The sequence below is a fragment of the Homo sapiens genome, chromosome X (assembly GCF_000001405.40).
Source record: "Homo sapiens chromosome X, GRCh38.p14 Primary Assembly".
Classification (NCBI taxonomy): Eukaryota; Metazoa; Chordata; class Mammalia; order Primates; family Hominidae; genus Homo; species Homo sapiens.
Window position 1 is genome coordinate 100,780,519 of NC_000023.11, and position 16,673 is coordinate 100,797,191.

Below are 16,673 nucleotides of genomic sequence, written 5' to 3' on the forward strand. Positions count from 1 at the left end.
GACCTCTGGTGATCTTCCCACCTCAGCCTCCCAAAGCGCTGGGATTACAGGCATGAGCCACCGTGCCCGGCCCATAGTAACTGTTTTATAAATTTGGGAGCTCCAGTGTTTAGTACATATATGTTTAGAATTGTGATATTTCCCTGTTGGACAAGGCCTTTTACCATTATATAATGCCCTCTTTTGTCTCTTTTAGCTGCTGTTGCTTTAAAATTTGTTTTGTCTGATATAAGAATAGCTACCTCTGCTCACTTTTGGTGTCTATGTGCATGAAATGCCTTTCTCCACCCCTTTACTTTATGTGAGTCCTTATGTGTTGTTAGGCCAGCATCACCCTAATATCAAAACCAGCAAAGGACATACCAAAAAAGAACATTACAGACCAATATTTTTGATGAACACAGATGCTAAAATCCTCAACAAAATACTAGCTAACCAGTTGCAACAACATACCAAAAAGATAATCCACCATGATCAAGTAAGTTTCGTACCAGGGATGCAGAAAAGCAGCAGATGGTTTGTGAGTTCTTATCTATTCTGCAATTCTGTAGAAAAGTGGAGCATTTAGGCCATTTACATTCAATGTTAGTATTGAAATTTGAGGTACCATTGCATTCATCATGCTCTTTGTTGCCTGCGTACTTTGGTTTGTTTTTTGATTTTGCTCTTTAACTTGTATTTTTGTTTTATAGGTCCTGTGTGATTTATGCTTTAAAGAGATTCTGTTTTGATGTGTTTCCAGGATTTCTTTCAAGATTTAGAGCTCCTTTAAACAGTTCTTGTAGCAGTGCCTTGGTAATGGCAAATTCTCTCAGTATTTGTTTGTCTGAAAACGACTGTATCTTTCCTTCATATGTGATGCTTAGTTTCACTGGATGCAAAATTCTTGACTGATAATTGTTTTGTTTGAGGAGGCTGAAGATAGGGCCCCAACCCCTTCTAGCTTGTAGGGTCTCTGCTGAGAAATCTGCTATTAATCTGATAGGTTTTCCTTATAGGTTACCTGGTGCTTCTGTCTCACAGCTCTTAAGATTCTTTCCTTGGTCTTAACTTTGTATAACCTGACGACAATGTGCCTAGGTGAATATCTTTTTGTATCCATCGCCCAGGCTGGAGTGCAGTGGCGCAATTTTGGCTCACTGCAACCTCTGCCTCCCAGGTTCAAGCAATTCTCCTGCCTCAGCCTCCCAAGGAGCTGGGATTACAGGCTCCTGCCACCACACCCAGCTAATTTTTTTTTTTTGTATTTTTAGTAGAGACAGGGTTTTGCCATGTTGGCCAGCCTGGTCTCAAACTCCTGACCTCAGGTGATCCACCTGCCTCGGCCTCCCAAAGTGCTAGGATTACAGGCGTGAGCCCCCGCACCCGAGCCCTGATATTAATTTTTAAATTAAAAGACTTTATTTTTAAAAGCAGTTTGAGGTTTACAGAAAAACTGAGCAGAAAGTACAGTCTCTATATACCCCCTACTCCCTGCCCCCAGTTTTCCCTGTTATTAACATTTGTGTTAATGTGGCATATTTGTTACAATCAGTGAATCAATATTGATAAATTAAAGTCCATATGTTAGTGTTCACTCTGTGTGTTATACAGTTCTATGGGTTTTGCCAAATGTATTAATATGTCATGTATCCATCATTACAGTATCATCCAGCATAATTTCACTGTCCTGAAAATGCCCTGTGCTCCACTTATTCATCTTTTCCCCACTTGCTATCACCACACCAAAGCCCTCACAACCACTTATCTTTTTAATATATCCATAGTTTTGCCTTTTGCAGAACATCATATCATTAGAATCACAATAATATGTGGCTTTTCAGACTGGTTTCTTTCACTCAGCAACATGCAGTTAAGGGTCTTCCGGGTCTTTTGTGGCTTGACAGCTCATTTCTTTTTATCACTGAATAATATTGCATTGTATAGATATACCACAGTTTTTTTTAAATTTACTCATCATTAAAGGACATCTTGATTACTTCTAATTTCTGGCAATAATGAATAAAGTTGATACAAAAACTTTTGTGTAGGATTTTGTGTGGACATATGTTTTCAACTCATTGAGGTAAATGCCTAAGGCATATTTAGTTTTGTAAGAAACTGCTAAACTATCTTCCAAAGTATCTGTACCATTTTGCATTCCCACCAGCTATGAAAGAGTTTCTGTTCTACATCTTCACAAACATTGGTGTTATCAGTGTTTTGGATTTTAGCCATTCTAATTGGTGTGGAGTGGTATCTCATTGTTGTTTTAATTTTGCAATTCCCTAATGACATATATGTTGAGCATCTTTTCATATGCATATTTACCATCTGTATATCTTCTTTGGGCATATGTCCATTCAGATCTTTTGCACATCTTTTCATTGGGTTGCTCATTTTCTTATTGAGTTTTAAGAGTTCTTCATATATTTTTGATAACAGTCCTTTATCAGATATGTCTTCTGCAAATATTTTCTCCCAGTCTTTGTCGTGTCTTTTCATTTACTTAACAGTGTCTTTCATAAAACAGAAGGTTTTAACTTTGATGAAGTCTAACTTGCCAATTTTTTCTTTCATGGATTGTGCTTTGTGTGTTGTATCTAAAAACTCATTGCCAAACACAAGGTCACCTCTATGTTCTCCTATGTTATCTTCTAGAAGCTTTGTAGTTTTCTGTTTTACATTTATAGGGGCTGTGAGAAGGTGACAGAGGTTACATGAGGTAATAAGGATAGGGCCTTAGTTGAATAAGGCTAGTGCCCTTATAAGAGGAAGAGACGCCAGTTTTCTCTCTCTCTACCATACGAAGACACAGCAAGAAAGTGGCCATCTACAAGTCAAGAAGTGGGCCATCACCAGAAACCAAATTACTGGCACCTTGATCTTAAACTTCCCAGCTTCCAAAACTGTGAGAAATAAATTTCTGCTGTTTAAGCCATGCAACCTACAGTATAAGTTATAGCAGCCCAAGCAGACTAAGACAGAACCCTTAGCATATTAATCATAGTTACTTTAAATCTCTGGTCCCATAATTCCAAAATATCTGCCACATCTGAGTCTGGTTCTAGTGCTTGCTTTGTTTCTTCAAGACTGTGGTTTTTTTTCTCTTTTTAGCATATCTTATAATTTTTCTGTTCAAAGCAAGGCATGATGTACTGGGTAAAGGGAACTGAACTGAGGTAGATAGGTGTTTAGAATGAAATTTAGAGGCAACTTAAGAAAGTACTCAAAAAACAAAATTATGGGAGCATGCTAAATGGACACAGGAGCCAGCCTGAAAGAGCTTGCAATGGACAAAGTTGGAACAATTTGAGCAACAAAATAAGTTATTCTTCCTTATAGAGGAATTCTAAATAATTTATATAGATACTTGCCTTCCAGGAAGTGGCACTTAATCCCCATCAAACCCTCATAAGTGTGGGCTGGACTTGGTAACTTCCTTCCAAAAAATAGAGTATGGAAAAGGGGTGAAGTAACTTCATAGTGGAAAAACCTGGCAAACACTACCTTGGTTAGCTGAGCAAAGCCTTGATATGGTGTGATGAGAATGGAATATTACCTTTGTGATCTTTCTCTCAAACACTTATAATCCCATTCTAATCATGAGGAAAGCGTAAGACAAATCCCAATTGAGGGACATTCTACAAAATACCTGAGGAGTACTCCTCAATAGGTCATCAAAACAAGTCTTAGAAACTGTCACAGTCAAGAAGAAACTAAGGAAAAATGACAACTAAATGCAATGTGGTATCATGGACTGGCTCCTAGAACAGAAAAAGTCAGTATATAAAAACTAAGAAAATCTGAATAAAGTATGGACTTTAGTGATAATAATGTATCAATATTGGTTTATTACTTGTAGCAAATGTACCATACTAATCTAAGATGATAATAAAAACAATAACTCTGTGTAGGGCCAAAGGGAGGGAAGTGGGCTGATACGGGAACTCTCCGCACTATCTTAGCAACTTTTTGGCAAATCTAAAATTACTCCAAGATACTAAGCTTCTTTTTTAAAAAAAATCACAAAACCTGAAAAATTTTAAAGAAATAAAAATTTAAAAATTAAAAAGAGTCAAATCCCAGCTGTATTTTTATTAATTATGTAATATTGTACAAGTCACTCTCTGAGCTTTGGTGTCCCTGTTTATAAAAGTGATAGAATACATTTTTGAGTGACATCTGAAAGATAGCAGAGTAGGAAGCTCCAGGCCCTCCTTTCCCCATGTAATCTGTGAAAGGAAATTCAATTTCGGGACGCCAAACTCATTTAGCGAAAGGGAAAAGTCAAAGTGGGAACTGGGTCATGCAAACCTGCCTCCCACTTTTGGGTCCTCAATAAGATGGCTACAAGATGAAAAGCTACATGCCTCCGCCATATTTTGCCCACAAGGAAATTCCTAGTGAGTTGTTAAAATTTCACCGTAGCAATGCAAATTGATAGCTTATCTTTACAGGTGCAGTCGCCCCCGGCGCACTAGACATAAATGCACATCTGAGTGTTCCCCTGCCCCATTTTGTCCATGTTATCTTATGTAAAATGCATATTCCCCACATTTTTCCTCTGCCTCTTTTATGTCATCTTATTAATGCAGATTCCCTGAGCCAGACAAAGGCATGAATGACTATTTTTCCCTACCCTCCTCTTACATGAAAATTGTGTACTTCTCAGTATCGCACCCTTTCCCCTTTAAATTTTGAGCCCTCAAAATCATCTTCGGAGACAGGCATAGACCTGTCTCCTGAGTGCATCCTTAACTTTGGCAAATAAATCCCCTAAAATGATTGAGACTTGTCATTTTTCTCAATTGACATCTGGTAACCACGAAGGGATCCTGAGTGAAAGTGACCCAGCCTGCAGTAGCTCACCTCTCAGTGCTTGGCACCGGCTTGGTCACCTTATAGCCCAAACTGAGAGGACAATTTGCCAAAGTCGAGGACCTCTTTCCAGGGATCTCTGATCTTCCAACATTTTCCAGTTGGGGGTCTGAAGTTTATTTGCTGTTAAAAACAAAACAAAACAACAAAAACAACAAAAATTCCTTTTTTTGTAGGCGTTTCCACTCACTTCCATCAAGGAAGGCGAGCCTGTCTGCTTCTGCATATGCAGAGAGCAATCTTCAGCTTGGGCCCCCATCACTAGGTAAGAAACTGGTTTGGAATTCTGTCTTGCAAATTCTTTTAAACGACTAGAATTAGCACTAACAACCAGCTGGTGTTAATTTCCTGCTTACCCTTAGAGCGCTCAGAAATCATATAATTTGCGTGATCATTGTTAGTTTTGTTTAATTGTTTTGTTTCTGGGTTTGTGTGTGTGTGTGTGTGTGTGTATATATATCTGTGTGTGTGTGTGTGTGTGTGTGTGTGTGTGTGTGTATGTGTGTGTGTGTGTGTTTTGGTCCTTTCCCCTATCGGATTTGACCAATTCTGAACCTTCAAGCTCATGAGTGTGAAATTTTCCACTCTGAAGAAACAGAACACATTGCTCCCCTCAGCCCTTTGGGGCATTCTCAGGCGACTGAGAATCACATGAGGGTTTCTGGGAGAAATGCTCCCTAAGACATGCAGCAGCTCTAAATAGGTTTCCCCCTCAAAAGAACATACTTAGGGTCTAATCTCAGCCAGCAGATGCATATAAGGAACTGACCCCTCCCAAACTTTGAGCCCCTGACACACTGTGCCAGGTGGCCACAACGCTGGTGGACCAAACTGGTTCAGGGTGTAATGGCCCTGTGAAAAGCTAGGTTTGCAAGCAGCACATTTTGGGTCCAACACACATCCCAACTTGGTCAAATCCAAAGGGGAACTCTAAATTATAGAGAACAAGGCCTCTAAGACCCCAGCAGTTGCAGAATATAAAGTTCCCCTCTTAGAAACTCCAGCAGGGTATATGCAAAATACTTATGGTGAATCATCATGCAAATATTTAACCAAGCGGACCACTATAACTAAAGCAGATTCTAAGTTACAATGGCCTAAATGGGGATCTTTTGAGATGCCCAAATTAGTGTACCTGTGAACCAGGATGGAGAATGCAGACACAAAAACCAAACAACCAGAATGGGACAGCTATTTTCAGTGGTAGCTGCAAAGTAGCAAAAGTGGGGAAGACCACTGTCACGCGTGTCTGGGTGAAGTGACCACCAAACAGGCTTTGTGTGTGCAACAAGGCTGTTTATTTCACCTGGGTGCAGGTGGGCTGAGTCCGAAAAAGATGTCAGCAAAGGGAGTTAGGGGTGGGGCAGTTTTATAGGATTTGAGTAGGTAGTGTCAGGAGGCCCGACACTCCTGTCTTCTTATATTAATAAGAAAAACAAAACAAGATAGTGGCGAAGTGTTGGGGTGGCAAAAATTTTGGGGGGTGGTATAGAGAGATAATGGGCAATGTTTCTCAGGGCTGCTTCGAGCAGGATTAGGGGCAGCGTGGGAACCTAGAGTGGGAGAGATTAAGCTGAAGGAAGATTTTGTGGTAAGGGGTGATATTGTGGGGTTGTTAGAAGCAATATTTGTTGTACAGAATGATTGGTGATGGCCTGGATACAGTTTTGTATGAATTGAGAAACTAAACAGAAGACACAAGGTCCGAATAAGAGAAGGAGAAAAACAGGTATTAAAGGACTAAGAATTGGGAGGACCCAGGACATCTAATTAGAGTGCCTAAGGGGGTTCAGCGTGATTATTGCTTGGTTGGTCAGTTTTGGGGCTCTATCCTTGAGTTTTTTTATGTTGTCACATACCAGGCCAGATTGATTTAGGTGAAAACAACACTCTTCATTTAAAAATATAGAGTCCCCTTTTTTTAAGCAGTGAGTAAGCGGAAGTCTCGGTGATTTTGGAGGAAATAGAAATGCAAAGCCAGCAATTGTTTGTTAAAGAAGGATTAGAAACGGCTAGGAGAGAGTGAGATTGATAGTGTGGTGGAGATAGCTGGGGAGAGGTAGAGGGTGGCATAAGAATGGGAACGAGAATAAGAGTGAGTAAAAAAGTAAAGAATAGGACTTCATCAGGGTGAAAGTACCGGACTGTGCCTTGCCACTGAAGATCTTTTATCCACTTCAAGAGAGATTTAAGGGTGGTGGTTTGAGATAAAACCAGGAGATACCAGTTATGATGGTTTGGAGGAAAAGTGTAAACTGGGAGTGTAAACAAGGGCAGGGCATTTATGAGTAGTTGAGAATGGTGAATAGGAGTATGACTAGACAGAAGATAGTAGGGATGACAAGTTTTTGGGGTGCAGTCCAAGTTGGGCTGGTGTCTGGAATGAGACTGGGGCCTAATAAAAAGGAGTGTCCATACAGGAGCTCAAATGGGCTGTACCCTGTAGCATCCCGAGGACAGGCCCAAATTCTGAGAAGGGCAAGTGGTAAAAGTATTGTCCAGTCCTTTTTAAGTTGGAGGCTGAGCTTGGTGAGGTGTGTTTTTAAAAGACCATTAGTCCATTTTACCTTTCCTGAAGATTGAGGATGGGAAGGGGTATGAAGGTTCCACTGAATACCAGGAGCCTGAGAAACTGCTTGGGTGATTTGACTAATAAAGGCCGGTCCGTTATCAGACTGTATAGAGGTGGGAAGGCCAAACCGAGGAATTGTGTCTGACAGAAGGGAAGAAATGACCACAGTGGACTTCTCAGACCCTGTGGGAAATGTCTCTACCCATCCAGTGAAAGTGTCTACCCAGACCAAGAGGTATTTTAGTTTCCTGACTCAGGGCATGTGAGTAAAGTCAATTTGCCAGTCCTGGGCAGGGGCAAATCCCTGAGCTTGATGTGTAGGGAAGGGAGGGGGCCTGAACAATCCCTGAGAAGTAGTAGAATAGCAGATGGAACACTGAGAAGTGATTTCCTTGAGGATAGAGTTCCACGATAGAAAGGAAATGAGAGGTTCTAAGAGGCGGGCTAGCAGCTTGTAACCTACATGGAAGAAGTTATGAAATGATGACAGAATAGAATGGGCCTGTAAGGCTGGAAGCAAATATTTTCCTTGGTCCAAGAACCATTTGCCTTGTGTGGGAAGAGATTGATAGGTGGAAGTTTCAGCGGGGGAGTAGGTGGGAGTGACCAATGAAAAGGAGAAAAACTGGCAGTGAGGGACAGAAGTTGGAATGCTAGCTGCTTTTTTAGTTATCTTATTAGCATAAGTGTTGCCTTGAGCGATGGGATCTGATGCCTTTTGATGGCCCTTGCAGTGAATGACTAGCTTTTTTGGAAGTAGAGCAGCTTTAAGAAGAGTTTTTATTAAGGAGGCATTAATTATGGAGGACCTTTGTGTAGTGGGGAAACTTTTTTCTGCTCATATAACAGCATGGTAGTGCAGGATATGGAAGGCATATTTAAAGTCAGTATAAATATTAACACATAGTCCCTTTGCAAGAGTGAGGGCCTGAGTTAAGGCAATGAGTTTGGCTTGCTGAGAGGTAGTGGAGGGGGGCAGAGCAGTAGCCTCAAGGATAGATGTGGAAGACACTATAGCTTAGCCTGCCTTTGCCAGTGATTGGCGATTAGGCCTGGTGGAACTGCCATCAAGTGTGATCAGGGTGAAGAACAGGAAAGAAGGAAATATGGGGAAATGGAGTGAATGCCAGGTGGATCAGAGAGATACAGTCATGGGGGTCAGATGTGGTATCAGGAATAATGTGGGAGGCCGGATTGAAGTCCAGGCCAGGAACAACGGTAACTGTGGGAGACTCAAGAAAGAGTAAGTACAGCTGAAGGAGCCAGGGGGCAGGAAGTGTGAGGAGGAAAATAGATTTTGAAAGTTATGGGAACTGTAGAGGGTTAGTGGAGCATAGCTTGTGATTTTTAGGGCCTCTAAAAGTATTAAAGCGGCAGCAATGAGGTGTGGCTGTAGCCTAGGAATAGTCAGGGAAGCGGATAATTTAGTTAAAATGTCTCAATCTAATAAGGGAGCTGGGCAGGTGGGGATAACTAAAAAAGAGTGCATAAAAGAATGTTGTCCAAGTTGGCACCAGAGTTGGGGAGTTTTAAGGGGTTTAGAAGCCTTGCTGTCAATACCCACAACAGTTATGGAGGCAAGGGAAACAGTCCCTTAAAAAGAAGGTAATGTGGAGTGGGTAGCCTCCATATTGATTAAGAAGGGGACGGACTTACCCTCCACTGTAAGAGTTACCCAAAGTGTCTGTGATGGTCCAGGAGGTTTCCGAGGCGATTAGGCAATGTCAGTCTTCAACTGCTAAGCCACGAATATCTGGGAAGGAGTCAGTCAGAGAGCCTTGGGCCAGAGTTCCAGGGGATCTGGGAGTGGCTGCCAGGCGAGTTGGACAGTCCAATTTCCAGTGGGGTCCCGCACAGATGGGACATGGCTTAGGAGGAATCCCGGGCTGCGGGCATTCCTTGGCCCAGTGGCCAGATTTCCGGCACTTGAAGCAAGATCCTGGGGGTGGCAGTCCTGGAGGAACGCCTGGCTGCTGCAGTTCAGGTGTTTTGAAGTTCTTGTGTGCTGGAGATGTGGCTGGGGTTTCTCTCACAGTGGAGGCAAGTAATTGCAACTCAGAAATACGTTGCTACTTGGCTGCCTCTACTCCATTATTGTCCACATTGAAGGAGAGGTTAATTAAGTCCTGTTGTGGGGTTTGAGGGCCGGAATCTAATTTTTGGAGCTTTTTCTAATGTCAGGAGCAGGTTGGGTAATAAAATGCATATTGAGAATAAGATGGCTTTCTGGCCCTTCTGGGTCTAGGGCAGTAAAGCATCTAAGGGTTGTTGCCAAACGGGACATGAACTAGGCTGGATTTTTATATTTGATGAAAAAGAGCCTAACCACTAACTGATTTGGGAGAGGTCAGATAAAGAAAAAGGAGAATTAACCTTGGCTATGCCTTCAGCTCCAGCCACCTCTTTAAGAGGAAATTGTTGGGCAGGTCGGGGAGGGCTAGTCACAGAACAAAACTATAAGCTGGACCAGGTGTGAGGAGGGGAGGTGATAAAAGGATTATAGGGTGGGAGAGCAGAGGCTGAGGAAGAATTGGGACCTGGCTCGGCGTGGCAAGGAGCAGCCTGGGGAGGAGGGGAGAGGTCAGATAGGTCCGTAGAAAAGGAGGATTCAAAGGACTCAGAGCTTGGGATGGAGACTGAAGGAACAGGAGAGAAAGAAGAAAGATTTGGGACAAGTCGCACTGGGAGCAGAGACTAAGGAGGGATCAATGTGTAAAAGAATGCCTGGACGTCAGGCACCTCAGACCCATTTGCCCATTTTTTGACCAAAATCATCCAGGTCTTGTAAAATGGAGAAATCAAAAGTGCCGTTTTCTGGCTATTTAGAACCATTATTGAGTTTGTATTGGGGCCAAGCAGTGTTGCAGAAGAAAATAAGACGCTTAGGTTTTAGGTCAGGCGAGAGTTGAAGAGGTTTTAAGTTTTTGAGAACACAGGCTAAGGGATAAGAAGAGGGAATGGAGGGTGGAAGGTTGCCCATAGTGAAGAAGGCAAGCCCCGAGAAAATAGAGGGTAGAGACATGGAGAAGGGGGGTGGTGAGCAGCCCTGGGCTGCAATGTGGGCGAGCAGCCACAGCCAAAGCAGGCGTCCCTGCAATTGACTTGCCACCAAGGGAATGTGGGTGAATGACCAAGGTAGGCATCCCTGCGGTGATCAGACACCAATGGAGTGTGGGTGAATAATCAGGCAGGTGTCCCCGCAGTGATTAAACACCAAGGGAAGACTGTCTTCCTGAGTTCATGACTGGCGCCGGAGTTCTGGGTCCATGGATAAAATGTGTCTCCTTTGTCTCTACTAGAGAGGAAAAAGAACTAGAATTGGAAGGACAGAGAGATTGAAGGGTAGCGAGAGAGGGAGACTGAAGGGTGGCAAGAGAGGCTGGAGAAGAGAGTAAAAAGACCACTTACCCGATTTGAAATTGGTGAGATGTTCCTTGGGCTGGTTGGTCTGAGGACCCGAGGTCATAGGTGGATCTCCTCATGGAGTGAGGGCGAGGACAGGGGACTGGTCTCCCAAAGGAGTCCTCCTGTCCCGGGTCTTCGGCACCAAATGTCACACTCGTCCGTGTGAAGAGACCACCAAACAGGCTTTGTGTGAGCAACAAGGCTGTTTATTTCACCTGGGCGCAGTTGGGCTGAGTCCGAAAAAGGAGTCAGCAAAGGGAGTTAGGGGTGGGGCAGTTTTATAGGATTTAGGTAGGTAGTGGAAAATTACAGTCAAAGGGGGTTGTTCTCTTGCGGGCAGGGGCTGGGGTCACAAGGTGCTCGGTGGGGGAGCTTCTGAGCTAGGACATTTCACAAGGTAATGTAATCAGTTAAGGCAGGAACAGGCCATTTTCACTTCTTTTGTGATTCTTCAGTTGCTTCAGGCCATCTGGATATATACGTGCAGGCTTGGGCTCAGAGGCCTGACAACCACCTCATCTCCCTACAGGAGGCCAACAAACAACTTAGAAATGCTAACCAAGAACTCTGTAATCTTGTATCTCTCTTAAAGAAATCCTCAGAATTCCTTACTTCCCCCTTGGTACCTCCCCCTACACCCCTACTCTACCCTGACCAATCTGAACTTCCTGGACCAGATCTGTCCGCCGCCTCTACTGCATGTCTAACACTTGCTCAACAGAAGGCAGTTCAGAGTCTGACTGCAAAGACCCCACCCCCTCATGATTCCCTGACAGCTCCAATGGCAACATCTCATCTGGAAGATGTGGAAAAGGGGGACCGTGCAGGGATATCTCTCATGATCACCCTATTTTGGGAACAACTGCTAACAGGTAGGGGAACCCTGGTAATTGTCTACCAACACCCTGGTCAAAGGCTGAATTCCAAGGCATAAAGAATTTCCTGACCCCCATAAAGATCCAATTGGGTTTGAGTATTTGAGCTCATTGTCAGAACCTATGACCCAGGTCATTCAGACTTTTATCAGCTAGTCCACATGTTGGTCTCAGAAGCTAAAGCTAAGGAATGGCTGGGAAAAGCACAATGGTCAGACTCTATAGCAGATTTGACCCCTGAAGGCCCAATGGAGCCACAACAACCAGCCCCCACAAATCCAGAAGACAGGCACAAAGATGTGCAGGAATGAGCAACCACTCTATTAAATATCATTCCTTCAGTGTTCCAAAGGGTTGTGGATTGGAATAAAATCCAACAATGTCACCAGAACCCAAATAAATTAGTTTTAGATTATTTAACACATTTTGATAAAACTTTAAAACAACATTGTGGGATGTCAGCTGATTGCTTTGAAAACAATAAAAATGATACATTATTAAATGCAAATTTCTTAAACGGACTAGATGATGATTTAGCCACCCTTGTAAAACACAAATTGGACCACAGCCAGAACTAATGAACTAGTTAACTTAGCTGACCAATTATCCCGCACTATGATAAAACAAGGAAAAACAGAAGATTGCCCAAGTTATGCATTTACAGCTAAAGCAATTAACTTCTCAAGCCTCTCGGCCCCAGAAAGATTTTAAGCTCCCTCGGTCTGAGGACTCTTCCCTCCCAGTCTGTTACAACTGTAAATGACCGAGACACCTTATGATGGATTGCCTTAGGCTGAAACAAAAGAAAAGGCAGAATGCAACTCAGGAAGACAAGGGGTGCTCCAAGGAAATACAGGGGTTTCACCTCTCCAAATATTCTACCCTGACAAACCAATTGGGGGAGATTAATATAATAATAAACCATGAGTTTACAACTGCCTTAACTGACATAGGTGTGACTATCTCTGAAAAATCCCACCTTATTTAGAAACCCCATTCCTCAGAGTAATGAAAGAATGAACATGGTGGGTATGTCTAATAAAATGATCTCATGTTTTAAGTCCAAACCCGTACCTTAGGGTTCATCAGGTTCCACTACCCTGTCGCAGGCTCTAAGTGTGACACACTCAGTAGGTCCCATATGTTTCTAATATGCACTGGGGCCCCTGTCAAACTTTTGGGCTGTGATCTCAACATCCATAATGCCCATATCTCTTTTTCATCAAAAGGTGAAACTTTTTTAGAATTGGAGCCAGGAGACCAAAAATACCATATTTAAAAATGTCCTGACAACGTACAATTTAGTACTAGTAATGTTAAAATGTCATCTTGTGACCAGGAAAATAAAATAGAGACAGAGAAGGAAATATTAGGGAAGAAGAGAGAACATTGGAATACAGAGCAGGAAACAGTAAAACTCCTTTTAGTTTCCCCAGTCTTCCTGTTAACACCAGAAGCAGAGCACTTGCTCAAGGATGTGTCCTCCCACTTATAGTCTCAGTCAAATACAGATACAGAGAAAGTATTCTCAGCCATTCCAATAAAGGTAGAGATAAATCCAAAGAAACCCCTATCCAACCTTAAACACTATCCTCTGCAAAAGGAAGCCATAGATGGAATTGCTCCTGTCATACAAGATTATCTGAGAAACGGGCTCATTATTCCCTGCACAATCCCCTGAAACAGCCCTATATTCCCTGTAAAGAAACTAAGCGGGAGAGGATGGAAATTTGTGCAGGAATTGAGGGCAATAAACAATATCATAATTCTCAGGCACACAGTAGTCCCCAACCCACAAACCCTTCTATCACCTATATCCACTACCAGCCAGTATTTCTCAGTTGTGGATCTCTGCAGTGCCTTCTTTAGTATTCCTGTAGAACCAGACAGCCAATATTTGTTTGTCTTTATTTGGAAAGAATGGCAATATACGTGGACTATAATGCCCCAAAGGTATACAGAAAGTCCCACTTAGTGTTCCCAAATATTAGAAGCTGATTTGGAGAATTAAATATTTTCCCAGGGCTCAACATTCATCTACTCTCCTTTGTTCAGACACACTCTCTTCCTCTCAGGAAGATAGTCTATATTTACTCAAACAGCCACCAAGGGACACAAATGTCTAAAGACAAACTTCAGCTATGCTTACCTGAAGTTAAGTATTTGGGACATATTATCTCAGCCAAAGGACTGAGTATTAACCCTGATAGAGTGAGGAATTTTAGCTTTCCCAATGCCCGTCACTAAGAAACAACTTAGAGTATTTTGGGGCCTGGCAGGCTATTGTAGAAACTGGATACCAAATTTCTCCCTTATGGCTCAACTTCAGTGTACATACCTAAAAAATGAACAACCTGATCCCATCATGTGGACTCCGGAGGGACAATCAGCTGTACAACAAATAAAGGAAATTCTGACTAATGCCCCAGCCTTAGGGCACCCGAACTACAAATTGCCTTTCTCCCTTTTCATACACGAAGTTGGAGGTACTGCATCCGGAGTACTGACCCAGAAACATGGTGATCATCAGAGACCTATAGGCTATTATAGCCAACAGCTGGACCCTGTGGCTCAAGGGCTGCCTCCCTATGTGAGAGCAATAGCAGCCACGGCCCTTCCGTATAAGTCTGTTGAAGAAATAATTATAGGTTCCCCCCTTAACATTTTTGTGCCACATTCTCTTGAGACCCTTCTAAACTCTCATCATACACAACACCTGTCTGTCAACTGGTTAGCCTCTTATGAAATTTTGCTTTTATCATCTCCCAATATTACTAGTTCCTGCTGTAATAATCTTAATCTGGCCACTCTCTTGCCAGGCCCTTCTGACAAAACCCCCTCATGACTGTGTTTTGATGACTGACTTCTCACCCCCAGGACAGACCTACAAGAGATGCCACTGGATAATGCTGAGATAGAATGGTATACAGATGGATCTTATTTAAGAGGAGAGGATGGAAATTTTATAGCAGGATATGCTGTGGTTTCCTTACTAGAGGTAATTGAAGCCAATCCTCTCCCCCAAGCCAGATCAGCTCAAGTGACCAAATTGGTTGCCCTGACCGAAGCTTGTCAATTGGCAAAAGACAAGGCTGCAAACATTTACACTGACAGCCACTATGCTTTTGGGGTTGCTCATGACTGGGATGTTATGGAAAGAGAGAGGATATTTAACCCCCTCAGGGCAACCCATAAAAAATGGACAAGTATCAGAGTTGTTAGAAGCTGTTCTAACACCAAAACGCTTGGCAATTATAAAAATCCCAGGTTGGCCAGGCGCAGTGGCTCACGCCTGTAATCCCAGCACTTTGGGAGGCCGAGGCAGGAGGATCACGAGGTCAGGAGATCGAGACCATCCTGGCTAACATGGCGAAACCCCGTCTCTACTAAAAATACAAACCCCGTCTCTACTAAAAATACAAAAAGTTAGCCGGGCGTGGTGGTGGGCGCTTGTAGTCCCAGCTACTCGGGAGGCTGAGGCAGGAGAATGGCATGAACCTGGGAGGCAGAGCTTGCAGTGAGCCGAGATGGCGCCACTGCACTCCAGCCTGGGCAACAGAGAGAGACTCCGTCTCAAAAATAAATAAATAAAATTAAAAAAAAATCCCAGGTCACTCAAAATTAGACACCACAGTAAGTCAGGGTAACCAATTTGCTGAAGCCACAGCTAAAAGAGCAGCATTCAAGCCATCAGCCCCAAGTTGGAAAATGGCCATAAAACCCAAAACACTTAAATACATGTTGAAAGAAACCCAGAGCATAGCTCCTACAAAAGAGAAATCTACTTGGAAACAGGCAGGGGGATACTTGTCTCCCAAAACTGAAATATGGTGTGGACCTAATTATTCCATTCCAAGAAACCCATTATTCCAATGGAATGTCAGGTGTCCCTTATGAAATATGTTCATAATCTAACCCATTGGAATCCAGATAAAATAATATCCTGGTGTAAACAATATTACTGGAAACCATCCTTCACAGTGGCACAAAAAGTTTACTCTCAGCCGGGCACCATGGCTCACACCTGTAATCCCAGCACTTTGGGAGGCCCAGGCAGGTAGATCACCTGAGGTCAGGAGTTCAAGACCAGCCTGGCTAACATGGCAAAACCCTGTATCTACTAAAAATACAAAAATTAGCCAGGCATGGTGGTGCGTGCCTGTAATCCTGCTTCTTGGGAGGCTGAGGCAGAAGAATCGCCTGAACCCAGGAGGCAGAGGTTGCAGTGAGCTGAGATCACGCCATTGCACTCTAGCCTGGGCGACAAGAGCGAAACTCCATCTCAAAAAACCAAACAAAAAAGTTTACTCTCAATGTGTTATCTGTCCCAAACATAACCCAGGAAAACCCCTCCATGGGGCCCAGGGTCATTTTCCCCTTCCGGCTGACCTTTTGAGGTATGACAGCTTGATTTTATCCAGCTGCCATCATCTCAATGTTACAAGTATGTTTTAGTAATGGTCTGCATGTTTTATCATTGGGTTGAAGCTTTTCCCTGCAGGCAAGCAACAGCCACGACAGTTGGAAAAATCCTACTAGAAAAAATTGTCCCACTGTGGGGAGTCCCCTGTGAACTTCACAGTGATGGGGGATCATACTTTACTGGCCAGGTTACTCAAAATATTTGTAAAATTTGGCCCATATTTCAACATTTCCATTGTGCCACCATCCCCAGTCTTCAGGCCTGGTGGAGAGGACCAATGGAATAATTAAAACACAATTGGCTAAGTTCACAGAGGCATTTCACCTCCCCTGGCCCAAAGCACTACCCCTAGTGCTGCTTATACTACGATCCACTCCTTTTGGAAAACATCAACTGTCTCCTTATGAAATTATAACAGGAAGGCCCATGTGTATGGGAACGAACATAACCAATCCAACTTTTCTCCAGGGAGATATATTGCAATATTGTGAGGGACTCATTTATCATCTTAGAAAAAACCAAAATTTGTTAAAAAATT